Source organism: Homo sapiens, chromosome 20 (assembly GCF_000001405.40).
Source record: "Homo sapiens chromosome 20, GRCh38.p14 Primary Assembly".
NCBI classification, from domain to species: domain Eukaryota; kingdom Metazoa; phylum Chordata; class Mammalia; order Primates; family Hominidae; genus Homo; species Homo sapiens.
The window spans coordinates 5,296,167-5,324,056 of NC_000020.11; the positions used below are offsets into that span (position 1 = coordinate 5,296,167).

Genomic DNA, 27,890 nt, shown 5'->3' on the forward strand with positions numbered 1-27,890 from the left:
TCTGTTGTTCAGGCTGGAATGCAGTGGTGTGATTATAGCTCATTACAGGCTCGAAATCCTGGGCAAGCAATCCTCTCACCTCAGCCTTTTGAGTAGTTAGAGCTAGAGGTATGTGTCACTATACCTGGCTAATTTTTTCATTTTTTTATTTGTAGAGATCAGGTCTTGCTATGTTGCCAAGGTTCCTGGCCTCAAGCGATTCTCCTGCCTCAGCCTCCCAAAGTGCTGGGATTATAGGTGTGAGCTACCATGCCCCACCTCAAGATTTATTATTGTTATTGATATTGCATTTGAAGTTATTGGCATGACCCATAGCCTAATGATAAAGGGACTCAACAGTAAAACATTGAAGGCAGATGGATCTAGAGAGCCTCTGAGGCAGTCATTTGCAGGATCAGGGTAGGGATCTTTGCCAATTAATGTGGTCATATTCCTACCATTGGAGGAGTCAGATTAAATTGTGCTTGAAGGAAATAAAGACATTTACTATGGGAATCCAGGCTGCCTTGCTAATGAATTGCTCCATGTAGCAGCGAGGTTTCTCCCAGCCGAGGGCTGAAAGTGAAGACCTTGCTTAGCAAAAGGTATGTTGATTAAATAAATGTGTTCCTCACATAGTAGTTCCGCCACTGGACACTCAGGGTTTCTGTATCCATGTCCTAGGGTACAGCTATCCAAACTTCTGCCAGGAAAGAAACAGATAAAAGTTGTGTTTGTGCTGCTATTTAGTGGGGCATGAGGCTGGGTGTGGTGGCTCATGCCTATAATCCCAGCAATTTGGGAGGCCAAGGCAGGTGGATCACTTGAGGTCAGGAGTTTGAGACCAGCTTGGCCAACATGGTGAAACCCCGCCTCTACTAAAAATACAAAAATTAGCTAGGCGTGATGGTGTATGCCTGTAATACCAGCTACTAGGAAGCCTGAGGCAGGAGAATCTCTTGAACCCAGGAGGCTGAGGTTGCAGTGAGTCAAGATCGTGCCGCTGCACTCCAGCCCAGGTGACAGAGCGAGACTTCATCTCAAAAAAAAAAAGGGCGCCAAACATCTACTGTGTACCCACAAAAATTAAAATTATAAAAAGACGGCATCAGCAATCCCAGGAGGTGATGTGTCCCTGGTTGGTGTACCTCAGGAGTTGCTGCATTTGCCTCACATCACCATGTGAGATAAAGTAGCAAATGTAAGAAGCCACGTGTGCTCATTTCTGTTTGCCAGCAAAATTTCACAAAGCTTCTTGCCTGAGTCACTATATTTCTCGAAAGATGAATGATCCTAGCCCTTGCCTTTTTCTGCACGTAAGATAACATCTGACAGGGTTAATGATTATGCTTCTGTAATTATAACCAGATGTACTCTTGCACCCAAGCTTTGATGTGATTGTACACGTGCTAAACCTTCATCACCCGCATATAAACTGTGAACTAAAACATAGCTTTGGAGGTGTCTGACAGAACCTCTCTGAAAGACTCCTCTTGGGCTATAGTCCTCAGTCAGACTTCTGAATAAAACCAACTTGAACTCTTTAAAAGTTTGATGTTTATTTCTTTAGAAGGCATTTGGCTGCTAGGAGACACAAAGCACAACCACAGCTAAGTCAGCCAGCAGTGGCTTGGGTGAAGACTGCACGTTGTGTTGTGGGTGGCCCTGTACTTGCCTTGTTTTGGAGTGCGAGCAAACCCCCTCCCCTCCACCTGCTTTTCCTGGGGCCGGGTTACCTCTCAGCACAACCTGCTTTCCCATTTGGCTCCTGAATCACTTGCAAACAGCTCCATGTGCATTCGAGTCTAATGCGTTAAGAGCCCCTCCACGCCCATTTATCTCAATAGGAGAAAAGAAAGGCAGGAGCACTAGGATGATTCTGGGGTGATTCTCTCTGGTTTCCCTGGAATCCTGGAGTCTCAATTATGGTCCCTTGGATTGGATGTGCTCTTGGCCTGCCAGAGGGAGGAACAGTATCTTTTCTGCAGTTTAAGATTCTGCCGGGAGGCCAGAAACCAGCTGAGGGTCCACTCCTTAGGAGTCAGGAGTGCAGTCCCCGAGTGCAGTTCGCTGCATCAGAGTGAAAATCTTGGGGCAATATCTTGGCTCCAGCAAGCATTAGCTGTACCCTTAAGCAAGGCATTTCCTTTTGAAACTCCGATCTCCTCACCTAAGAAAGGAGTGAGTTGAATTATATGCCCCTATAAGGCCTTTCCTGGTCTGTGGTCTGTGGTGTGTGTGTGTGTGTGTGTGTGTGTGTGTGTGTGTGCGCGCGCGCGTGTGTGTGTGTGCGCATGCGCGCGCACCCATCCTCTTGAGCCAAAGGAGAGACAGCTGTTAAATTGGAAGGATATGTTTCAAAGCCATCATTTTTCCTGTAGAAATAGAACTCACTTTAAGTTTTCTAATTACCTCCTACATGTCACATTCTTTCTTCCTCTTTAAGTCTGGATTGCTTCTCATGACTGAGGGCCTGAAGCCATCTTTTGATTTCTTCAATCTGTAAAGCAACTTATTTTAAATTTTGAATGCTGATAGAAAAGGCTTTAATAGCTTCATTACAGAGCCATCTTTTTTCTTATTCTGGCTGAGGAAATGGATCTGTTTTGCTAAATGAGATTAATTTTTCAATGTATATAATAATAGGCATAAATGTGTACATCTTAGCATATTAAAAGTGTCTTAAGCTTACCATTAATTAGTCTTGAGAAGAAAAGACTAAATACAAGTGTAATGAATTTATTACCAGTTGGAGGGATGAATAGTCACGGTGCAATCAGCAGCTTTCATTGGAACAAACAAGACTGTTTTAGAATGAAGGCATCGCATCAGTCCAGGACCGTGATTCCTTGCTTATTTGCATGCATGAATACACTCCGGGGCCATTAGCTTGAAGGACATAACCGAGAGGAGGCTGATTGATGCTATGAGCTACCACTGTTCTAAAAATGCCTTCAATAAGTTCCTTCTCTGTTTCAAGGTGGGACTGTTTAGGTAGCTATTACTTCACTCATATCTAAATATACTAACATGCTTAAAAGATCAGCAGAGAAAGCACTTGAAACCTGTGACTAAATTCCACATGTTAATTATTTAATTGGATAACAACATTACACTTTAATCACTGGAAAATCACAAATACACACTGATATTTACAAAAGTTTTTTCAGTTAAATTTCAATGAAAGGAAGTTGGTATATTCTAGGACAAAAAGGAACAGGGTGATGAATCCTGCTGACAGACTTGACTGGTACATGGTCCATTCCTAAAGAATCTCCTGATTCGGCTAAGAGCCAGGATAGAATAATAAATAAAAATACAATTATTATATTTATAGAAATGTACATAACCTAAAATTGTTACTTGCTTGGCTTTGAAATGCATTATTACACAATGCATTTCAAAGCCAAGCAAGTAAGAATTTTTGTAAATCAGAATTAACAGTTTTGCTTAGGCTAATATTATAGTGTGTTTGCATTTTCTTTTATTTTCCTTTTGAGATGGAATCTTGCTCTATCACCCAGGCTGGAGTGCAGTGGTGTGATCTCAATTCACTGCAACCTCTGCCTCTGGGGTTCAAGCAATTCTCATGCCTCAGCCTCCTGAGGAGCTGGGACCACAGGCATGTGCCACCACGCCAGCTAATTTCTGTATTTTTCTAGAGATGGGGTTTTTGGCCATGTTGGCCAGGCTGGTCTTGAACTCCTGACCTCAGGTGATCTGCCCATCTTGGCCTCCCGAAGTGCTGGGATTACAGATGTGAGCCACCATGCCGGCCTGCATTTTCTGAGAGTACAATGATTGGGCTGAAGGTGAGTCTGCTGGGTGGTGATAGAAAGAAATATTGGTTGAAACTTCAGTCAGAGAAACAAATCAACAAATAATAGAAACAATCAAACAAGCAAACAATTAATTCCTTGTCTATAAAAAATTAGGAATTGGTCAAATATGGTTGGGTCAGTCCCAAACCAGGTACCATTTGCATAGCTACCACATCAAAATGAATCAAGAAGAAATGAAGACGTGTACCTACAGTTACCACAAATGTATAATACAAACAGATTCAGAAGTGATATTTATGCAGCACTAGGGTGCTATTTTGCAACATGCAGGGAGGACTGTCAACACTTCTAAGACCGCAGGGATGCTGAGAGTCTTGGGGTCACTGAGAATCTGAGGTTAAATTTCCCAGATTATAACCAAGAACAGGGATCCCTTTTTGGCCCACTGTAGACAAGGTACACTGTGAAGTCTTCAGGAGTCTTTCATCCAAAGAACAGGGATGAAAAAGTGTGGGTATTTCTCTAATAAATCACAGTGGATGGGGTTTCCAAATAAACTCCCTCCAAATAAACTGTTCAATATCACTTCTCCATTCTTATCGTGTGCACAGTTGAAAAGCACATTCACAAACCATGGCCTCAATGGGCTCTCCCAACAGTCTTGCAAGGTATGAAGAGCGGATATTTTCATCATCGCCATTTCATTAAAGCAAAACTGAGACACAGAGAGAAAACATCATGAATTTAGGACTTGAGTCTTAGAGTTAGGACCTGAACCCAGGTCTTTGGATTCTAGGTAGAGTTCCTTTTGTAAAAGAGGGAGTGTTCTAGAAAGTGGTCCAGTCCTTAGCAAAATGCCCACAGAGATTATGTTCATTGCCAGTGGCAACCTCCACTTTTTTCTCTGTCCTCTTTCCCCCTGACCCCAGAGCCACTGAAATCCTTTGCACTGAGGAGGCAAAAATTGACACCTCAGGATTACCCATCTCCACCCAAATAAAATGATAAGCTTTCAAGCATCAGTGGGAAAGTGATTTTTAGGTTCTTTCCTTTGAAATTACACCATTGTGGATAACCACATAAGGCTGGGCTGACTATAAGAATTTTTTTTTTCTTGAAGCCAAAATCCTAGAGAATGCCCTGGGAGGCAGTAGGAGGTGGGTGGGAAAGTTCAGTATGATGGCTGTAACACACCTCCCATGATGCTGTAAACCACGCACTGACAAACTTATCGTTACATTTCCATTGTGTCTAAGAGTCTTCTTCTATAGCCGTTGGTTGTTGTTGTTGTTGTTTTGTTGTTTGTTTGTTTGTTTTTTTCCTGAGACAGAGTCTCACTCTGTCACTCAGGCTGGAGTGCAGTGGAGCAATCTCAGCTCACTGCAAACTCCAACTCCCAGGTTCAAGCTATTCTCCTGCTTCAGCCTCCTGAGTAACTGGGATTACAGGCGCCCGCCACCACGCCTAGCTAATTTTGTATTTTTAGTAGAGACAGGGTTTCACCATGTTGGCCAGCCTGGGTTGAACTCCTGACCTCAAGTGTTCCACGTGCCTCAGCCTCCCCAAGTGCTGGGATTACAGGCATGAGCCATCATGCCTGGCCTATAGCCTTTTGATATTCCTGCACTGGTAAGATACAGAATTAGGGAAGATGGAGGGTGAACTATCTATATATCTGGAGATAGCTTGGAAACTCCAATAGCTTCTGCTACTTTGTTATGTTTTTTATATGTTTTTGATTGTAATCAAATCAAGTGTTTTTTATTACAGTAGGTGAAGAGTAAATGTCAGCTCCTGCTGTCCCTGTCTAATCTCATTGGTGTGGTTTGCACACAGTACATGTTCAGTCCATGTCAGTTGCTGCTCCTTGTGTCTAATCTCCTTGTTGGGATTGTGGACACAGTAGGTGTCGAGCGGATATCAGTAAATGTCAGCTGATTTGGTTCATGTCTAGTCTCATTGTATGTTACGACTTTGCAGCATTCAGCTTCTTGAGGGCACGGGGGAGGCATGAACACAGATGTCATTTCCCATGCAGCCTATGAACTTGGTTGATGGTGGGTGATGCTCTGAGTACTGGACTGGGGTTTTCAATTGTGTGACACCAGTGGGTCACTTCAGCCTGATACAGTCCACCTCTTCTGTGGTGGGCACCCCGTTGGTTCTGAGGTCAAGGTCAGCACTGGACTTGCTCCCCCGCTGGGAGGGACGCCAGTGCAGCAGCATCATCTTCTTGAAGTACTTCATGGTGTTGTTCTTGACCGTCACGAAGCACACGGTGTTGATCATGCTGTTGCTCATGGCGATGCACTCGACCACGTAGAAGGCAGTGAGGTAGTGCTTTTCCTTCACGAACACAGTGGGGAAGAAGTCACGAACGATGGTGAAACCGTAGAAGGGTGCCCAGCACAGCACATAGGCCGTGAGAATGCACATGAGCACCAGGACCGTCTTCCTGCGGCAGCGCAGCCGCTTGCGAATCTGCTCCGTCTGGAACCCAGGGACTGCCTTGAACCAGAGCTCCCGGGAGATCCTGGCATAGCACAGGGTCATGGTGACCACAGGGCCCACGAACTCGACACCAAAGATGAAGAGGAAGTAGGACTTGTAGTAGAGCTGCTGATCCACAGGCCAGATCTGGCCACAGAAGATCTTCTCCTGGCTCTTGACAATAAAGAGGACCGTTTCTGTTGCAAAGTAAGCCGATGGGATGGCAATGAGAATGGACACCATCCAGACCAAGGCGATCAGGAAGGAGGCCGTTTGATAATTCATCCGTGGTTTCAAGGGGTGAACGATGGCGAGATATCTGGTGGGGGAGGGAAGCCAACAGTAGTAATGATGAATACGTGGAAACGTTAGTTTGTAACTAACCCCAAACATACACTAAAGCAGTGGCACAGTGAATCCTCATGTACTTGTTATCCAGCTTTAACAAGCTTCATCTTATTTTAGCAACATCATTTGGCATAGTGAAGTGTTTTAGTGAAAACAGCACAGGCTTTGGGTCAAACAGGCTGAATAAATCCTGGGTTTTCCCTGGATTGGCTTTGGGGTCTGAGATGAATTATTCAATCTCCCTGAGATTTATTTCCTCAAATGCAACCTGGAATAAGATGATACTTACTTTGCAGGGCTACTGTGAACACTAAATATGGCAATTTTTGTAAAATGCTTTGTGTATAGTAGGCGTTCAATAAATACTTGTGTCCTGTTATTATTCTTAAGCATCCTATTATACCACCTTGGGTTTCCATCTTGTCATTCTGCCCAAGAACATACAATACTCTCAGAGCTCTTCATTCCAAATAGCTCACGGTTTAGGTGAAGGAAGGGCTTATGGCCCCCAGACAGAGGTGGGAGCCTTTCTCAGGGCAGTTGGCAAGAATTTGCTTCCCCTCCCATGAGCTGTCATCCTGCATTTCAGAGGCAGGAGAGTCAAGGTAAGCTTGTAGTGAAATCTAAGGACTCTAATGAAAAGTAAATGCCTTGCCCAAGCTCACATCATGCAGGGACCAGAATCCAGGCTCTTGATACAAAGCTTATGCTCCCACCTCCCTGGGCCATCTTGTGCTCAAATGAGAAGGTGTGTGAAGTCTTTATCCTTGCCCTTTCCAATGAGCCACACTGTCTTGGAGACAGATTGGAGCCCTTTGTGGGAAATGAGCTCATTTGTGTGGATTGAATACTTTCTTTCCAGAGAGACCTAATGACACCTATTTAGACACCTGGTGCCCTGGCATCATTTCTATGCATCTTATGGTTGGGGTAGGGGGTAGGGGAGGAATGCTTTGGGATATGGTAGATGAAGATAAGAGGCATGAAGGACAGGGAGGAAACAAATCAACCCTGGAAATGAACGTGTACTTCATACCTGGAGCTTGAGTCAGGTGAGAACAAGAGCAGGATGCCGCCTGCTGGTAAACAGGCCCCCCAAAACCTGGCCATAAACTGGCGTCAGCGTAACAATGGGACAAGTGTGGGCTCTGGTTCGTTCCACCTTGGAACTTTTTCACACTGATGATGAGGAGGAAGGAGAGTATAACGAAGTAACAGAAGAGGTTACAGAGCAGGTTTATTTGCCAGCTAAAGCTAAAGCGGCAAAGGAGGGAGAGGTTCATCCCTACTCTTCTGCACCCCCTCCTTATTATTTTGAAGAAAAAGACCCTCCAGATCTTTCTTTTCTGGAGGACACTGGGTGAAAAGTAGTTGCCCCAGTGACTATTCGAGCAGCACTTCAAGCGACTGCTCTTAGTTCTATTCAGGCAGGAATTCAGCAACCTAGATGAGAGGGTGATTTAGAGGCTTGGCAGTTCCCTGTTAGAATACACCGCCCCAGATCAACAGGGAAATATTATAGCTACATTTGAGCCTTTTCCTTTTAAATTACTCAAATAATTTAAACAAGCTATAAATCAGTATGGACCAGGTTCTCCTTTTGTAGTGGGACTGTTAAAGAATGCTGCTCTTTCCAGTCGGATGATGAATTCCTACTGACTGAGATGCTCTTACTCGAGCTCGTCTAACTCCTGCTCAGTTCTTACAATTTAAAACTTGGTGGGCAGATGAAGCTTCCATTCAGGCTGCTTGCAATGCCCAGGCCCATCCTCAAATTAATATAACTGCAGACCAACTTTTGGGGGTTGGCGACTGGGCTGGTTTAGATGCACAAGTGGTCATGCAGGATGATGCCATAGAACAGCTTAGAGGAGTGTGCATTAGAGCTTGGGGAAAAATCACTTCATGTGGAGAACAATACCCTTCCTTTAGTGCTATAAAACAGGGACCAAAAGAACCATACGTGGATTTTATAGCTCAGTTACAGTAGTCTCTTAAAAAGATGATTGCAGATTCGGCTGTTCAGGATAGAGTGTTGCAGTTATTAGCTTTCGACAATGCTAATCCCGATTGCCAGGCTGCTCTGCGACCTATCAGAGGGAAAGCACATTTAGTTGATTATATCAAGGCCTGTGATGGTATCGGAGGTAATCTGCATAAGGCTACTCTGCTAGCACAGGCAGTGGCAGGACTGAGAGTGGATAAAGGAAATACTCTATTTCCTGGAGTTTGTTTTAACTGTGGGAAGCATGGTCATACTAAAAAAGAATGTAGAAAAAATCAGTGAGTCAGGCCACCAGATAGGGGAAAAAAGAAAACTGCTGAGCCCAAAATATGTCCAAAATGTAAAAAAGGAAAACATTGGGCTAATCAGTTCACTCTAAGTTTGAGAAAGATGGGAACCTGATTTCGGAAAACACCATGAGCGGCCCGTCCCGGGCCCCATTCTAAACTGGGGCATTTCCAGCTCAGGCCATTCCCTGACCCCTGTACAATGTCTGTCCCCTGACACAGCTGGTAGTGCTGCAGTAGATTTATGCTGCACAAAAGCTGTGAGTCTTCTGCCTGGGGAACCCCCGCAAAAGGTCCCAACAGGAGTCTGTGGACCCTTGCCAGCGGGGACGATAGGATTACTTCTAGGAAGGTCTAGCTTAAATTTAAAAGGGGTACAAATACATACAGGAGTCGTTGATTCAGATTACAATAGGGAAATTCAAATGGTTATATCTGCTTCTGTTCCCTGCAAAGCAGAGCCAGGAGAGCGTCTGGCACAGCTCCTGATTGTGCCGTATGTGGAAATGGGGAAAAGTGAAATTAAATGAACAGGAGGATTTGGAAGCACAAATAAACAAGGCAAAGCAGCTTATTGGGTAAATCAAATTACTGATAAACGTCCTACCTGTGAAATAACTATTCAGGAAAAAAAAATTTAAAGGTTTGGTAGGTACAGGAGCGGATATTTCAATCATTTCTCTACAGCACTGGCTGTCTGCATGGCCAATTCAACCCACTCAATTTAACATAGTTAGAGTTGGTAAAGCCCCTGAAGTATATAAAAGTAGTTATATTTTGCATTGTGAAGGGCCCAATGGACAACCTGGGACTATTCAACCAATTATAACTTCTGTACCTATAAATTTATGGGGGAGAGATTTATTACAACAAGTTCTAATTCCAGAACAATTATATAGCCCTCAGAATCAACATATGATGCATGAAATGGGGTATGTCCCTGGTATGAGACTAGGAAAAAATTTGCAAGATTTGAAAGAACCACTTAATTGGAAAGACAAAGTTCCCACCAAAGACTAGGATAACATTTTTGATGGCGGCCAATGTTAAGCCTCCAGAACCTATACCTTTAAAATGGTTAACAGATAAACCAATTTGAATAGAACAATGGCCACTAAGTAAAAAGAAACTGGAGGTTTTAGAGAAATTAGTTACTGAACAATTAGAAAATGGGCACATAGCTCCAACATTTTCCCATTGGAATTCTCCAGTTTTTGTAATTAAGAAAAAAATCAGGTAAATGGAGAATGTTAACTGATTTAAGAGCCATCAATTCAGTTACACAACCTATGGGAGCATTACAGCCAGGATTGCTTTCTCCTGCTATAATCCCCAAAAATTGGCCTTTGATAGTCATAGATTTAAAAGACTGTTTCTTTACTATCCCTTTAGCTGAGCAAGACTGTGAATGGTTTGCATTTACAATTCCTGCAGTAAACAACCTGCAGCCTGTTAAGTGTTTTCATTGTTTTATAGATGGGTTTAGTAATGGTAAAGCTTCTTATTCTGGCTCGAAAAGTAAAGTTTTCCAGACGCCCTATACTTCAGCTCAAAAAGCGGAGCTTGTAGCTGTAATTGAGGTATTGACTGCTTTTGATATGCCTATTAATGTGATTTCTGATTCTTCATACATGGTTCATTCCACACCGTTAATTAAAAATGCTCAGTTACTGTTTCATAGAGATAAACAACTGATGACAAAAACAAAAAAGGGGGAGAAATAGGGATTACAGGACAGCCCATACACAACTGAATCTAGCATTATTAACTTTACATTTTTTGAGCCTGCCCAAAGGCCAGATGTTATCAGCAGCTGAACAGCACCTACAGAAACCAGCTGCAAAGACAAAAGCAGAATAACTGATTTGGTGGAGAGATCCAATAACAAAAAGTTGGGAAATAGGTAAAATAATAACTTGGGGTAGAGGTTATGCTTGTGTTTCTCCAGGCCAAAATCAACAGCCAATTTGGATACCATCAAGACACCTGAAACCTTATCATGAGCCAGATGCTGAGGAAGAGATTCCAGGAGGATCCCGAGGACCCCCCATTTGCAGTCATGTCGAGACTGATGCTGAGGAGGACCCCAACTGTCACAAGCAACACCCGTTGAACACAGCCACCCACCTGGGGACAGATCAAGAAGCTGTCATAGATGGTGGAAGAAAACCTGAGGAAAGCAGGACAACCAGTTACAATGAGTAATTTAATGGTAGCTATGATAGCGGTGATCACCATTGCCATGAGTATTCCTTCAACAACGGCTGACACAGAGAACAATTATACTTCTTGGGCATATTTATCAATCTTGGCTGGCAATAATGCCTGGATATAATCACTCTATGATGCAGTTACACATGCTTTCTGATCTCAGTATTTACCGTAATAAATCTGCTCCTATAATTGAGGCATACCACCCTCAAAAAACTACTTGTAAACAAAATAGAACCTGGCCAGAAATAATGAACATACTTGTTTAGGAAGATTGCATTGCAGAACGGGCAGAGGTGCTGCGCAACGAATCCTATGGAATCATTATTGATTGGTCCCCTTAGGGGATGTTTAGCTTGAATTGCACCTCTCAGTCTGCGTGCCATGGCCACACTATGTTCAGCTGGTCTGAACAAAATGGTCAGATGGTAGAAATGGCAAGAAGTATGGCAAGAGTTCCTATTATCTGGAACCTTGGTGGTATAGTGGCACCTCAACCTCAAATAATATGGCCTGCTGTAGAAGCTAAACATAAAGATTTGTGGAAACTATTAATAGCTCTTAATAAGATCAAAATTTGGGAAATAATAAAAAAGCATCTAGAAAGACACTCTACAAACTTGTCTTTGGATATTGCAAAATTAAAGAACAAATATTTAAAGCATCCCACACCTGACCTTAATGCCAGGAACTGGAGTGCTTAAAGGAGCTGCAGACAGGTTAGCAGCTAGTAACCCATTAAAATGGATAAAAACACTTGGAAGCTCTGTGATTTCAATGATTGTGCTTTTAATCTGTGCTGTTTGTCTTTGTATAGTCTGCAGATGTGGATCCTGACTCCTGTGAGAAGTAGCTCACTGTGACAAAGCTGCCTTTGCTTTTATCGATTTGCAAATCAAATAAGGGGGACATGTTGGGAACAGGCCCCCCCCCCTCAAAACCTGGCCATAAACTGGCCCCCAAACTGGCCATAAACAAAATCTCTGCAGCACCATGACATGTTCATAATGGCCATAATGCCCACGCTGGAAGGTTGTGGGTTTACCAGAATGAGGGCAAGGAACACCTGGCCCGCCCAGGGCAGAAAACCGCTTAAAGGCGTTCTTAAACCACAAACAATAGCATGAGTGATCTGTGCCTTAAGGACATGCTCCTGCTGCAGATAACTAGCCCAACCCATCCCTTTATTTCGGCCCATCCCTTCATTTCGGCCCATCCCTTCATTTCCCATAAGGGCTACTTTAAATCTAATATCTATAGAAACAATGCTAATGACTGGCTTGTTGTTAATAAATACATGGGTAAATCTCTGTTCGGGGCTCTCAGCTCTGAAGGCTGTGAAACCCCTGATTTCCCACTTCACACCTCTATATTTCTGTGTGTGTGTCTTTAATTCCTCTAGCGCTGCTGGGGTAGGGTCTCCCCGACCGAGCTGGTCTCAGCAGCTGCCTATAGAAAATTCTATCCCACTTACCTTTCCTTTGTGACCAGACCCTTCAGTCACTCTTTCCAAGTCTCTGACTGGACTAAGAAGGCCTTCTGTCATGTTATTTCTTCCTGTCCCTGTCAATATTTCTGCCACAAAGTTGTTTTATCTTCTCTTGCCTGCCCCCTGCCTGCCAGTGGCTCTGATCATTGAATTGCATTAGAGGAGATACCAAAGCAGCATGGCTCTCCCCAGCTTTTGACTTTCTGAAGATCTAGGATGAAGCTGGATCCTACCCCAACCGCTGGCTGCACCCTAGCTAGGTATATTAATATGCACAGTGGTTGCTGGGGTTCTTCAGCCATGCATGTGACCTGACCTTGCCAAATTAACCTGCATGACCTGCCTGCATGGTACAAGGCTCACAGGGCTGGAGAGTGGAACAAATGGGCAGGCTCATTCTTGTTGGGGGCAGGGACATCTCACAGTCACTGACTCTTCATGATGACTGAGTGAATTAGTCTCCTATTGCTGCTTGTAACAAATTACCGCAAACATAGTGGCTTGAAACAACCCAAATGTATTATGTTACGGTTTTGGAGGTCAGAAGTTTGACATGGTTTTCACTGTGCTAAAATCAAGATGTTGGCAAGGCAGCATTTCTTTCTGGAGGTGCTGATGGGGAGAATCTATTTTTGTTGCCTTTTCTAGGGATGCCAGCATTCCAGGGCTGATGACTTTTTCCCTTTCCAAAGCCAGCAAGGGTCAATCGAGTTTCTTGCATTGTATCACTGACACAAACTCTTTGGCCTCCCTCTTTCACAGTTAAAGATCTTTGTGATTTCATTGGGTCCACCCAGATAATCCAGTATAATTTCTATATTTTAAGATCAGCTGATTAGCAACCTTAATTCCATCTGCTACCTCAATTCCCCTTTGGCATGTAATGTAATGTGTTTATAGATCCTGGGGATTAGGATGTGGTTATCCTTGGGTGAGGGACATTATTCTGCCTCCCATACTGAATCCAAAGGGCTTAGATAATGCAGAACAAATTCACAACTTTATAGCTCTCTCTCAATCTGGTTCCACCATAAAAAGTATTTCAATAACCCATGCCAAAGGGAATTTCCACATTTCTCCTTATTCTGTTGTCAATTCTTAAATTCTCATTCTTTTTCCTCCAATAACATCTTTCTCATTGTATGATGTTCCAAAATTCAGAGTTGTCATCAAATAAATCAGAAAGCAATAACACTGGCCTAGGAGTTATTCAGAAGACCTGGATTCCAGCTGTGTACCTGGACTCAAACTGTGTACTTGGATAAATCACTTTTGGTTGGGGGACTCAGTTTCTTCATCTGTGAAGTGGGGATAATTAATAAGATCACTGACAACCTCTAAGGCTTTTTGTCATGTTCTGAGAAGGTAAACATACATAAGGGATGTTGAAAGCTATTGCACATTGTTTAAGCTAATCATTTCCTATGACTCATTCATTTGCAAGAGGGACACCGGCAAGGTCTTTGTTTTCATCTGTCTGCTTGGATGTGTTTCTTTGGGCCAATCCTTTCCTTCTAGGGTCTCTATGACTTGAAATAGTACCTCCTCTGGGCTTCTCTCTGGATGGACCTGGCTGTGGCACATGGAAACAGCATTGGGTGGCCCTTCTGATATTTCTCTGTAGTAGGACAGGGAGGACTGTGCTTCTCCCACCCTACATGTGTTAGGGAACACAAGCCTATCTAATTCTGGGATTGACTGTGCCCAGTGATAAAAGCTCCCTTCTCCAAAATCAGCATAATTGGGGCAAAGGTGAGAGTTTGGCCATCCATCTTTCTTAGCATTTTGCTTTATTTTTTTCAATTAGTTTAGAACCTGATCAGAGAAGAGGATCCTTACTCTTTCTCCCTATCCTACCACCTGCCACCTGTACAGCATTTCCAGAGCAGCCCTCATCAATGACCTCCCACCTCTGGAAGAACTCTCTGTAGAGCTGTGATCTATGCTGGCTCCACTAGTCCCTCAGCAGGAATATGCTCTAGTTGCCACAGTGAAAGCTTGCTTAATTACTTCTTGGGTGTTACCTGCACATAAATCTTAGTCTCAGAGTCTGATTTGGGAGTAACCCAAGCTAAGACTCAGATATAAGTCCCTGTGCTAGGCACTGTGGAGAAAGATAGAAAACATCGTTATTGTGCTTAAAACACATTGTCTTCTGGAAAATACTATCAGTATCTCCATACATAGCATGAATTTAGAAAGACAGCAAATTAAAGATTGATATCAGATTACAAGCGCCCTGGAATGCTAGGCTCAGGATTTGACATGTATTCCGTAAGCACTTGAATTTCTAGATATTTTGTAAGCAATGAAATGTTTCAGGAAGATCCATCAATGATGATATTCCTATGCTTAATATGGATGAGTATGGATTTCAGGGGACAGTCAGGAGCCCCCGGGGAGTGAAAAGACAGGTTAGAAGAGCATTATGATGGCCCAGCTATGACTTGCTAAGAGATAAAGCTGGAAGGAGAGCTGCCATGACTTGGTGTATTGCTGAACACATGGGGTGGGGTGAGTGGAGGCAGGATAGGGAGAAAGGGTAAGGATGATGGTAACTTTTCCCTGCTTGGACGGCTGAGAGAATGATGGAACTGCTGATGGAGCTGGGAAGCTGGTTGGGGCAGAGTTGGTTTGGGGTGGAAAAGGACCCACTCTGTTGTCTGTGGTGTTGTAACAAGGTGATTGCTTCCCAAGAAACTCCAGTGCTACAAAAAATGAAACCAAACCAAACCAGCATTATAAAGACAAAGGTTTCAGTGGGACAAGGGGAATGGGAACAGTGCTTACTTTCTGTGACGGTTAATATTGATTGTCAACTTGATTGGATTGAAGGATACAAAGTATTGATCCTGGGTGTGTCTGTGAGGGCATTGCCAAAGGAGATTAACATTTGAGTCAGTGGGCTGGGAAAGGCAGACCTGCCCTTAATCTGGGTGGGCATAATCTAATCAGCCGCCAGCTTGGCTAGAATATAAGCAGGCAGAAAAATGTGAAAAGAGAGACTGACCTAGCCTCCCAGGCTACATCTTTCTCCCATGCTGGATGCTTCCTGCCCTCAAACATTGGACTTCAAGTTCTTCAGTTTTGGAACTCGGACTGGCTCTCCTTTCTTCTCAGCCTGCATATGGCCTATTGTGGGATCTTGTGATCATGTGAGTTAATACTTACTAAACTTCCTTTTATATATATTTATATTCCATTAGTTCTGTCCCTCTAGAGAACCCTGACTAATATACTCTCACTTTAGTGAGCATCAGAATCACTCAAGGAATTAGATAAAAATGCAGATTCCTGGGACCTTGCCCAAGGGATTCCCACTCAAGAGGGTGGGGTGGAGCCCAGGAATCTGACTTTGTATCTTTTGAGACAGAGTTTCGCTCTTGTTACCCAGGCTGGAGTGCAATGGTGCAGTCTTGGCTCACGGCAACCTCCGCCTCCCAGGTTCAAGTGATTCTCCTGCCTCAGCCTCCCAAGTAGCTGGGATTACAGGCACCCGCCACCACGCCCAACTAATTTTTGTATTTTTAGTAGAGAAGGGGTTTCACCATGCTGGCCAGGCTGGTCTCAAATTCCTGACCTCAGGTGATCTGCCCGTCTCAGCCTCCCAAAGTGCTGGGATTACAGACGTGAGCCACCGCACCCGGGCTGACTTTGTGTCTTTCCATCAAATGATACTTTGCACCATTTTCCCTGGAGAATTGTGTGCAGTTGGTTGATAGGTACACATTTCATAAGGGATGGTTTCAGGGCTGGTGAGCCTGAGTTGTAGCAAAATCGTTTTTCCTGCAGAAATTATGTTATACAAAGGAAGGAGGATGCTTCCTACACCCGTCTGTGTATTTTATTACTAAAATGAAAAATATTAAACTGGCTGAATAAAGAGAAAAAATCTAAGCAGCACTGAGAACAGGGGAAAAATTTAAGAGTTGAAAAGATGAAAGGAAAAAAGATGACTAAGCAGATCATCCTAATGAGCACAGCTTACAATGGTGGACAGCAACCAAGAGAAGGTGACCACTGCCCCCTCGAACAGAGCCAGTGATGGCCCGATGCTGGCCTGCAACTGTTCACATAAACAAAATGTGTGTAAGATTTGTCATAAACTGCTATTATACATTTTACTTTATAAATTTAAAATAGAGCAAGGGCTGGTGACGAGGAATAAGTTCTAGTGTTCTACAGGTCTATAGGGTGAATATAATTACCACAATTTATTATATAATTTCCAAATAGCCAGAAGAGTGGATTTTGAATGTTTCCAACACAAAGAAATGATAAACATTTGAGGTGATGGATATGCTAATTACCTTGGTTGATCATTACACATTGTATACATACATGCATAGAAATATCACTCTGTATGCCATTAAGTATTTACAATTATTATGTGTCAATTAAAAATAATAAAAGCAAAAAATAAAATAATAAATACATAAAGGAAAGGAAAAAATAAAATAGAGCAAGGACTTCTGGAAATATCTCATGCAAATGTATGCAAATGAGCACACCAACATATGCAGAAAAGCAAAAGCAAGCGTGTCCTTTCCTCTTTTGCACAAACAAACCCTGTTATCTTATTTTAAAATGAGCTCTGCAACAAAGTCTATCAGAAACAACAGCACATACGTTATGTTTTTTTATGACATTAAAGAACAGGTGAAACTGAACTGTAATGATAGAAATCAGATTGGTGGTTGCCTGGTGGGGGAGGATTGACTGGTGAGGAGCACAGAAGGTTCTCTAGCTGATGGAAATGTTTCACATCTCCACCTGGAGGGTGGCTACAGGAAAAGCCTAGTACATGTTTTCCTGACTGGAAGCTGCCCTAGTTAACTCTCATGTGGCTTCTAGGTAGTAGCTGCCTGCCCTTTCTGCTTTCCCTTTGTGTTGGTGCCACATACTGTCATGTGGCATGCCTGTATCTGAAGCACATGTGGTATCTGGGGGCATGGCCCAGAGATGGGCCACTCAGCAGCCCCAGTCTTGCTCACATCTGGGGGAACAGAACTCAACTGGAGAAACAAGACCTCCTCTTGCCCTCCAAAGATTGGTGAGCATTCCTATCTGGAGCAATGTCAGCCTGTCAGAGCCTAAATGAGGAAAGAGACAGCCTGGCCCAGCCCCACCACTCACCCCACCCACCATCCTCACCTGTCAATGGCAATGGCCAGCAAGGCATTGGTGGAGACGTAGAGGGAGACGGTGCGCAGGTAGTTGACGGAGGCACAGAGCACGTGGCCATGCTCCCAGGAGAGCTGCCGTACCACGTAGTAGTCCATCTCGAAGGGGCAGCAGATGATGGCCACCAGGAAGTCGGAGATGGCCAGGTTGGCAATGAGCAGATTGGTGAGGTTGCGCAACTTCTTATAGCGGGTGAGGGCAGCGATAAAGACAAAGTTACCGATGCCGCAGACCAGCATGATGCCTGCCAGTGCAATGCCAATGACGATCTTGGCTGCGAAGAAGGTCCGGGTCTTGGTCATGTCCTCATCCTCATCCATAGGGAGGTCATAATCACCATAACTGAAGTTAAAGGAGAGGGAGGAGGCATGGTCTTGGGGTGGATTAAAGTTGGGTGTGAAACTGGTGTTTCCATTCTGGGCTGCCATGGTGATGTCTGCAAGAAAAGTGGTGTGAGGGAGGTGCGAGGGGTGAGGGTCCAGACCTTCTGCTCTTTCAGGGTCAGTGAGCCTAGCACCCTGCCCACATCCTTGGGGAGAGTTGACTCACCGTCCTGGATCCTGGAAGGAGGCACAACCAGTGGGCAACATGCAGGAGAACATCTGGTCACATTCCCTGAGTTCCCCAAGTATAGGCCAACCAGACCCACTGCCTAACCAGATGGAACTACCCGGGATGCGGGGAGAGGAGACCTGAGATCTGTAAGTTGGGAAACCCTCCGTGGCTGCCCAGCTGTCAGGAAGGACAGCATAGGATGGATCAGACTGTCCAGAACTCTCAAGAAGAATGTGCACCTTTGCCCTTTGCCCAGGGGCCAGGGCCTCTTTGTCTGCCCAGTCACATCCTCCAGCCCCCAACACATCAGCTCCCACAGGGGCTTCTGGAACATTTCCAAGGATGCTCCCATGAGCTGGCCAGGCTCCTACAGCTGTCACAACGTTGTGGCACCTGTTGGCCAGGGACAATGAAGCAGGAGGGCCAGGATGCTGCGGGGTCTTCTCTCCAAAGCAGGACACCACTCCTTCTGTACTGACCAAGCCATAGACTTGGAAATCACCAAGTTCACTTTCACATGGACAGACTGAGTCACCCTGGGCCAGTGATTTATGCTCTCTGAGTCCTAATCTTCCTGTAAACCAAATTCCTGCTGCCCAGTCCAGTGCCTGGTGCATAGTGGGGGCTAGACAGACATCTGTTGAGTGCATGACCAGGGCGCTGTAGGTGGAGGAGGTGGTGGTGGGGTGGGGGAGGGGAATTCCCCTGCTGCTCCCCGTTCTGTGGGAACCAGCTCCAGAAAGAAATCCTCTGCCGCCCTTCCCACCCTACTCCAACTTTGGATCTGCTCTCTGACCTCCTTCACTTGGCCCTAGTTCTCCACCCAGAGTCAACCCTGCCTGAAAGGCACCATGTCCTGTCACCAAGGTCTCAAAATAGGGAAAATAGTCTCTGAAGCCCTCAGCCCGCAGGAGATAGGGCACCCCAGGGTACAAGGCTTCACCGAGGGGCTGGAAAAAGAGCCCAGATCCCAACACCTATAGAAAGGGGCCCTGGCTGTCCAGCTGTGAGTGGCCTTCCCCTCGCCTCTCAGCACACCTGGAAACGACTCCACATGTGGGCGCCGCGGGATGCTGGGTAGCAAGGAGATGACCCAGCTGAACAATGCATTTGGTCCACTCCTGCGAGGGGAGGAGAACGCCGAGGGACAGGAACTGCGCGCCAGCAAAAGACACCCTAACCTGGGGTGCGCCCGCCAGCTGCTTTCCCAAGGTGAAAACCTCCAAGAGGCGAGATGCAAATCCCAGTGGCGTCCACACCCGGAGGTGTCTTCTCTCCAGGTCGCCCCTCCGTCTCATGCGACACCCCAATCCCCGCAGCCTCTGCTCAGCGTGGGACCAAGAATGGGGAGTCCTACCCCTCCTCGGCTTTCCAGCCCCCTAACCCAAGACAAGAGGGCGCGCGCCCGGGCTGGGACAGGTCCCAGCCGCATTTTCGTAGATTGCACTCCCCGCCCGGGAGCGACCCGTTCCAGCAGCCCCCTTCCCGCCCCATCAACGCGGCCGCACTGTCGGCGTCTAGAGGCGACATCCTGGCAAAGACAGGAATCAAGTCAGAAATTCAGGCTCTAGAAGCAAAGGCTGCGGTGCCTCCTGGCTGGAAGAAAACGGCGGGTGGGTGGAGGATGCGGTGCGCGGGAATTTCCCCACGGACGCTTGCTGTTTCCTGCTCACCTTTCAGGAAGGTGCCCCTCTACCTGCACCCTCCCCTGCAATTTGGAGCTCGTCCGCGAGCTCAGCTACCCGCTGGCTCCCTCTGCCCGCGCCCGCACACCACAGACTCCGCTTACCGTACCCTACCCGGTCCTAGAGGGCCCAGAGGGGATCTCCTGAAACCAACTCGCCTGCTTGGAGCCAGCCCCGACGCATATCTCGAGAGTGGCGGGAGGCAAAGCAGCCGGAATGCCCGAGAAAAAAGTGGGCGTCAGAGGCCCTTGTCCTAGCGACTCCCCCACCGCACCGACTGAGTCCCGGGACTGCAGGGATCTAAGCCCTTACCTGTCTCGGCGCCTCCTTTCTGTGCGCTCTGCTGCTCCGGAAGCCGGATCGAGAGTCACAGTGTGGTTGGGCGCAGGCGGGCCGCTCGGTTTTCACCTCGAGGACCCGGACTTGCACTTGCAGAGCCGCTGCGTGGGGGATGTCCCTCTTTTTTCCTCGCCCCGGCGGGCTCCTCCGGCGTGTCAGGGTCTCTGGGTTCCAGCTGGAGTTGGCGCTCCGGCCCCACAGCTCTTTCCAGCGTCTCGGACCTGTGCGCCCCGCCCCGCGCTGGACTCCGCCCCGGGGTCCCCGCCTGCCTCCTAGTCCAGGCCAAGGGTGGATGCCCAGCTCCCCCACCCCACCGCGTGCTCTCGGGCTGGTGCGTCCAGGGCGCGGGCACCGTAGCTCCGGCCGCGCTGACGCGAGTCCCCGGCAGCGGGGGCAGCCTCTCGCACGGATTTCAGCGCCTTCGCATCCCGTCTGAATCGGACCACACAGTAGCCGGGTTTCTACCGTGCGCTTGGGAACAGTGAGCACCGCCCTCTGCCGCCAGTCGTGGCACCGCACCCGGGTCGCGCGCGCAGGAGGGGAGAGTCCTGTCTTCCGGAGGTGCCCAGTGCCAGCGTCCGCGCCCACTAGAAGGTGACCCTTTCAAGGAAAGCCCGGCTCCGACGAGTGCGGTGTGGGCCTTTGGAGATGGCGGTGAAGGAGGAGGCCCCCAGGAGGAAGCTGGGGATGGGGACAGTTTGCTCTGCTCAAAGCCCCTGAAGTCCTCACCCAAACTTTGCGATGACCACCACTATCAGATTCCATGGCCGTATAAAGACAATCCCAGGAGTGCCTCAGCCCATCTGTCCGGAGAGTCTGGAGCCCTTCACTTTGCTTCTGACAGGTTCGAAATCCTCCCACGACCTTCCTGGTTAAACACAGGAACTGCCCATTCAAATGACTGGTGCCCAGGAAGCTCTGGGCATACAGGATTGAACCTGTGGCAGGACCCTGAAGGTCTAAAAAGGTGTTCCCCATCGTTAAACCCCAGCCAGCGGATTATTGGCAGGTGGGAACATGGACTCCACTTTGTCAGAGCTTCCCATTGTTTTCAAGAGAATCTGGAATTCGAGAACTTTAAAAATAGTCTTTGGGTTCGTTAAAGCAAAAATCTTGTTTTGGTCAAAGAGAACCTGTCTCAGACTGAACACAGTCCACAAGGCTGCCAATTAAAAATTTTTGGATAAATGAACTTCAAACTCCTTCAGGTTGTGACATTCTGTGATTCTGCTTTTCCCACCTTACCTGGAACCTGACCCCACTCTCCCTACCTCTTAGCATCTCTCCCGCATGATCAAAGGCAAGAGAGCCAGCTGTTTGCTTTCCTCCTGGGGAGGGGCTGCGATTGGGCAGGTGTTCTACATGCTCAGGGCAACTTCCAGATATGGAGGCAAAAAAGCTCTGTTGCTTGAGTGGGGGAGATGATGGGGTGGCCAGTTGTACGCCCTGGACACATTCTTTGCAATAGTGCATACTTACCAACTTCAGCTAGAGGCTTCTTCGCTCATGGACCATGCCTGCCCTATTCAATGGGGGCAAACAGACCCCTGGGACCATCTGCCCGCTGGTGCTTTCATGGAATCCTCTGAGATGAGTTAAGGCATGGTTGCTTCCACACAGATCTGGCGACCCACAGATGTCGCTGTAGTAACTCCAAGTCCTGACCACCCTCAGCAGAGTAGGAGCTTTTTCTGGGGATGGACATGTGGTCCCCAGGGAGACAGTGGGTGCTTAGAAAACAGTGCAACAGAGTGCTACGGGGAGTTGTCTTAGTTTAGGTTTCCCCCAAGGAGACTCCCAGACAAAGACCTGAGTGCAGGTAGTTTATTGGGAGCAGATCCCGGGAAGCACACACAGGGGGAGGGGAAGTGAGGCAGGGAAGGGAGAAGGGCCCATACACGATATGCTAACGAGCAGGGTGCCACTGCGGCTCACTCCAGTTGACCTGCAGACCGTGTAGAACATGCCTCATGGTTGTTCACAGCAGCGCGGGGAGGCTGGACATTCAGCCATCGATTCCTACCCCCTACTGATGGACAGATTCCCTGAGAGCCAGAATTTCCCTCACTTTTGAGTTGTGTCCCGGTGTGGTGCAGAAAGCCCAAGGCTGAAAAGAAGAGAGCTTCAGGCCTTGGATGGGAGGTGTCATGGTGCCTGGAACTGCATCTGCAGGTGAGCAGAGGAGATTCTGGGCAGGCCGTCACTCTCACATCTGCTACAGGAGGGCAGCAGAGGGGACATTGCCTTTGATGAGGCGGGCAGGAGCCATACTTCTGCTGGAGTTCATAGACTGAACTGGGTGTGAACCCAGAGAAACTGGGTGGGCTGAGTGGGATTTTGAGAGGGGCTGGAGACTTTGCATTATATACTTGGAGGCAACTTACATCCCCACTTGGGCTCACAAAGCTGGCAAGAACTGGGGAAATGGAGATGACTTCCCCTTCTAGTCAAAGAGATTTCTCTAATTGCAAGTCCAAAGTCTCTTCTTGTCTCTGAAAGAGTTTTCTGTCTGAAGTCTTTCTGGGTGAGGGAGGCTTAGCTGAACTACATGATAAAGTGCTGAGGGAGGGGAAAAGGGAAAGGGGAGGAAAGAAAATCCATGCAGGCAGGAGTTGCTGCAGAGCCTCAGGGGAGGCATTATCTACAAACAACTGGATGTGAGGAAAATGGATGAGGTAAGGATACTTTGATACAGAGCCAGAAGATTATATGTTTGAATCCACTCAAGAGACACGAATAATAAAAATTTAACAGGTATAATATTTCGACAACATTAAATCTGAATGTTTTTTGTTATTTCCCCCACGAATCCTATTCCATGGCAGCCACTCCACTAGTATAAATCCAGGAGATTGGAGTGGGTTAACACCGCCTCAGAATAACATCTCTCAAAGATACTCCCTAAAAGGGAGGGTTGAATTGTTGGGTCAGCCTGAGATTGCCAGATGGAACCACATTTAGGATCCCCTCTCCCACTGCACTACTCAGAATATGTGTCAGCGTGTGTATAAAGGGGACAGAGAACTCAGGGTGTGTCAGGTAAATTTGATTTTCAGGTAATTTCTTTTAAATTACTTTTACTATTTATTTATTTACTTATTTATTTTTTAGAGACAGGGTGTCAATCTGTCACCCAAGCTGGAGTGCAATAGAACAATCATAGCTCACTGCAGCCTCAAACTCTCAGGCTCAAGTGATCCTCCCACTTCAGGCTCCTGAGTAGCTGAGACTACAGTCTCGAGCCACTGCGCTTGACCCCAGATTTTTTTTTTATTTTTATTTTTACTTTTTGGGAACAGGGTCTCTCTCTGTCACCTAGGCTGGAGTGCCCTAGTGTGATTGTGGCTCACTGCATCCTGGACTTTCCAGACTCAAGCAGTCTTTCAGCTTTGGCCTCCCTAACAGTTGGAAATACAGGCGCCCAAAACCACGCCCAGCATTTTTTTTTTTAATTTTTAGAAAACAAAACAAAACAAAAACAAAAACAAGAAACGAAGTCTTGCCATGTTGCCCAGGCTGGTCTTGAACTCCTGGGCTCAAGCGATCTTCCTGCCTCAGCCTACCAAAATGCTGAGATTACAGGTGTGAATCACAGCACCTGGCCCCTAAATTACTTTTGACATTTGATTTATGTTTCTTGAAAGTGACTCCTTTCTAAGACAAAGCCACATGGATCTTCAGGTTTATAAAGGTTTTATATGTAAACTTTCTTAATTGTAAAGAAATGAATACAGATTCTCTGGAGCTTGATTTTCCAATACATATTAAAAAGCCTTGAGGCTAGGCAGAGTGGCTCATGCTTGTAATTCCAGCACTTTAGGAGGCCAAGGTGGAAAGATGGTTTGGGGCCAGGAGTTTGAGACCAGCCTGGGCAACCTAGTGAGACCCCGTTTCCACAAAATTTTTTTTTAAATTAGCTGGGCATGGTGGTAAATGCCTGTGGTCTCAACTACTTGGGAGGCAGAGGTGGAATCACTTGAGCCCAGAAGTTTGAGGCTGCAATGAGCTATGATCGTGTCACTGCACTCCAGCCTGGGCAACAGAGTAAGATCCTGTCTCAAAAAAAAAAAGGTCTTAAAAATATACCTCTCTTAATCTTTAATCCAGAAATTCTATTTTTATGACTTTATTCTATGGAGATAACGAATGAAGCAGGTAAAGATTTCTCTACAAGGATATTGATAGTAGTATTGTTTAGGATAACAAGAAATTGAAAACAACACTATTCTCAAGAAAATGACCTCAAGTGATTTTTGTGCGTGTCTGTGTGTCTCTCCAGGAGTAATTAATCAGCAAATCAAGAATGTGCCCTTGTTATTGACTGCAGATATATCGTTAGGTAAACTTTTTAACTTTGAAAGTAAATGTAATTAAACTCTACGAATCCTAGGTGGAAAAGGAGAAGCTTAATTAATGGTTCAAGGTGCATTGACCCTGGCACTACCTTTCCTTCCATCCAGCTGGCTTTCATGGGGTTCTGCAGAGTGACTCTGTAGGATACACCTGCTGACTCACCTGGCCCAGGTATTTTTCCCTCTTCGGCTTCCATCTGCCTCTAGGGGAGGAAGGTGATAGTCAAGACTGAGACAAGGTATCAGGGTCAGTGCCCGCCAGCCATGCTCCCTGTCTATGGAGAAAGACCCAAGAAAAAGGTAAGCTTACATGAAAGCTAGAGAGCTTTTGGTCAGAAATTTGTAATTGCTGTTAAAACTGTTTCAGGAAGTTTTCCGAGCCCTCAGAGAGAGGCGGTGGTGGGAGGAAGGTGGGTTGAGAGAGCAAAGTTCTTGCAAGAAGCAGCTCCTCGATGCATTCAAAACTGGATTCTATGATGGCGAGTTTGGTTAATGAAATCCCTTCGTGGAAACGACCTTGTTCACTGGCAGGGCAGATGAAGGACAGGACGGTGCTTTAACTAATAAGAAAGACTGAGGCTTCCAAGTTCAGATCCATGTTTGGTAGATTATAGAAAGGGTTTGGTTTTTTTGTTTGTTTTTTGTTTTCTTTTTTGAGATGGAGTCTCGCTCTGTCGTCCAGGCTGGAGTGCAGTGCTGTGATCTCGGCTCACTGCAAACTCCGCCTCCAGGTTCACGCCATTCTCCTGCCTCTCAGCCTTCCGAGTAGCTGGGACTACAGGCGCCTACCACCACGCCCGGCTAATTTTTTGTATTTTTAGTAGAGATGGGGTTTCACCGTGTTAGCCAGGATGGTCTCGATCTCCTGACCTTGTGATTCGCCTGCCGCAGCCTCCTAAAGTGCTGGGATTACAGGTGTGAGCCACCGCGCCCGGCCAGAAAGGGTTTAGTTTTATAAGGAGGCACTTGGGTGTCAGTTTATGTTAAGCCTCATCTTCTCTGGCTTGTCCTCTTCCAGCTGAAGCCCCTCTCTCCAGGTGTTCACATGCTGTCTTGCCCTGAGCTCAGGAAAGGATGAGAACCCCCTCCTTCGCCTGAGGTCAGGGGCAGGGGCGTTTGGGAACACTCAGGTGGGAAAAATTCACATAGTGTAGACATTTGGAAAGTAAAAAGTCAAACTCTTTGCCCGCTTTCCACAATGCAGCCCCTGAGAGGTGACCCAGTTACCTGGACTTTACTACATAAGTTCCAACGCAAACAAAACGGGCTTTGGGTATGCTTGGGCTCATTATGGGAGGAGTCAGGAGAGAGAGAAAGCCATTTTCACTATGAGCAACATAGAGCTCTGAGTTAATTAACTTGAATATTTTGAAAAACGTGACTTTGGCTTGTGCCCTGAGGTGTCTTGGGTTGGATTTCCCTAAAAGCAGATCTTGAGACAAAGATTTGAGTGATGATGTTTATTGTTGTGGGGCGGGGAGTAGGGTTAGGGTTTACATCCTGAGTCTAGAGTCACGAGTTGGGGCAATTCACCCCACGCATGATGGGTGCGTGCTGCAAAGTGACCTGCAAAGGGCATGGATGTGGGGAGAGGTGAAGAATGGGTCCAAATGATGCAATCCCCCCACTTAGCTCCCCCGTCTTGGATCCCAGAGCTGCCTGCCTTGCTCCTTCAGCATTGCTTTGATTCTGTGAGCCACCTTATTGCTTCAGTAATTTCTCTTTTTAACTTCATTTGCTCAGAGCTGAATTCTGTTGCTTACTATCAAGGAATCCTAACAGATTCAGATTCAGACAGGTTAAGTTTTAAATGTCACACAGCTAGCTGGTGGGTGGCAGAGTTGGGATTCAAACCAGACTCCAAAATCTAGGCTTCTTCTACTGCACTGACTTGAATGAAATCTTCCTGCCTCAGGAGGAGTGTGGTATTGAAGTAAGAACTGGAAAAAAATGGGAGAGGAATGAATAAGCTTCCCAAGACCCACACTTGCCCCTGGGGCCAAGGGCATTCCAGCCCAGATGGCCTGGTATTGACAGACTGTAATGGCGGCTCTCAAACTGGTGTGTGTTTTGAGACCTTTTTCAAAATACACATGCATTGGCCCCATGCCGGGAGATTCTTATTCCACTTATCAATAACACTTTCTTGGCTTCTTTGAGTATTCATTCTTTACCAAGTTTCCTATCAAAAAGAAAAAAAAGGAAAACTAAAAACACTCTGATGGAAATCATTGACTAGAAGAAATGGGCCTTAATGAATCCTGCCTAGAAACAGCAGAACATCTTCCCAACAGAGGGGCATTTTGTTTTCTCTCTTGTAATATTGTGTATCAGCCAAGATTGTGTGACTGCTTTTCTTTCATTTTAAAAGTAAAACATTCGGTTTTGGGGCTTTTCTCCTACATTTAATTCAGTTTGTACATTTTTTGAAGCTCTACCAGTTGAAAACATCACTAAAAACACACACAAGCTGGGAAGAGAAAGTTAAAAGCAGTGACAAGTTCATCATGCTGTTTTTGAGGACCAGCTCTGTGTAACACACGTGGCTTGCAAGACTTTGAAAAGTGAAGGCTGGGGTGTAGCTGATCTGGGGCAAGGATGGGGAGATGAGAGATGCCAGGTTATCCAAAGGCGTAGCTTGTTCAGGGAACTGGGAGTAGATTTTGAGAAACTACATGCCCAATAAATGGCCTGAATCACACACATGCAAGTCTTTTAAAACAGAAGGTATCTAGCATTTAAGTTCAGAAATCCTTTGGTAGGGATGAGAGCTGGGAGGTGCTGGGGTGGCTTGCAGCCTCAGGAGTTCACATTGTGCAGCTGGTGGCACATTTTTGGCCTCTGTATCATTTGAGTTTGAACTGGGAATAAAGCCTATAGCTCCAAAACCTTACTGTTCCCATCGCAGACATCCTCAGTGGAAGAGATAAAAGATATCCCTAGACAAAGGCATCCAGGGCCATGGGACATTGGTGCTGTGCTATCCTTTGAGGGAAATGGTAAATGAGAGTTGGGGAGAGGGTGTGTGAACCAGAATTGCACACCTGCTTCCAGCCACATCTTATGATACATGCACCCGCTTCACCACACAACACCATCCGTGACCCAAGGGGACTCTTTAGGAGGGAGGATGAGGATATGTTATGGGTAGGACCAGCGGGGGCCACTGGGTTTCTGTACAGCA

The 27,890-nt window shown here is 46.2% G+C and overlaps 1 protein-coding gene across 2 annotated transcripts; it reads right to left on the bottom strand.

Annotated features, from left to right (window-relative positions):
• Nucleotides 1-3,051: 3,051 nt before the first annotated feature.
• Nucleotides 3,052-20,788, bottom strand: PROKR2 (prokineticin receptor 2). Of its 2 annotated transcripts, XM_017027646.2 has the most exons (4): nt 20,328-20,788; nt 17,746-18,211; nt 3,690-6,570; nt 3,052-3,265 (listed from the first exon to the last, which is right to left on the bottom strand). In XM_017027646.2, exons 2-3 carry the CDS (start codon nt 18,201-18,203, stop codon nt 5,874-5,876), a joined length of 1,155 nt encoding a protein of 384 aa, XP_016883135.1. In that variant the 5' UTR covers nt 18,204-18,211; nt 20,328-20,788; the 3' UTR covers nt 3,052-3,265; nt 3,690-5,873. The 2 variants fall into 2 exon arrangements, with proteins under 2 accessions (XP_016883135.1, NP_658986.1); NM_144773.4 differs by having other exon boundaries at nt 3,052-6,570.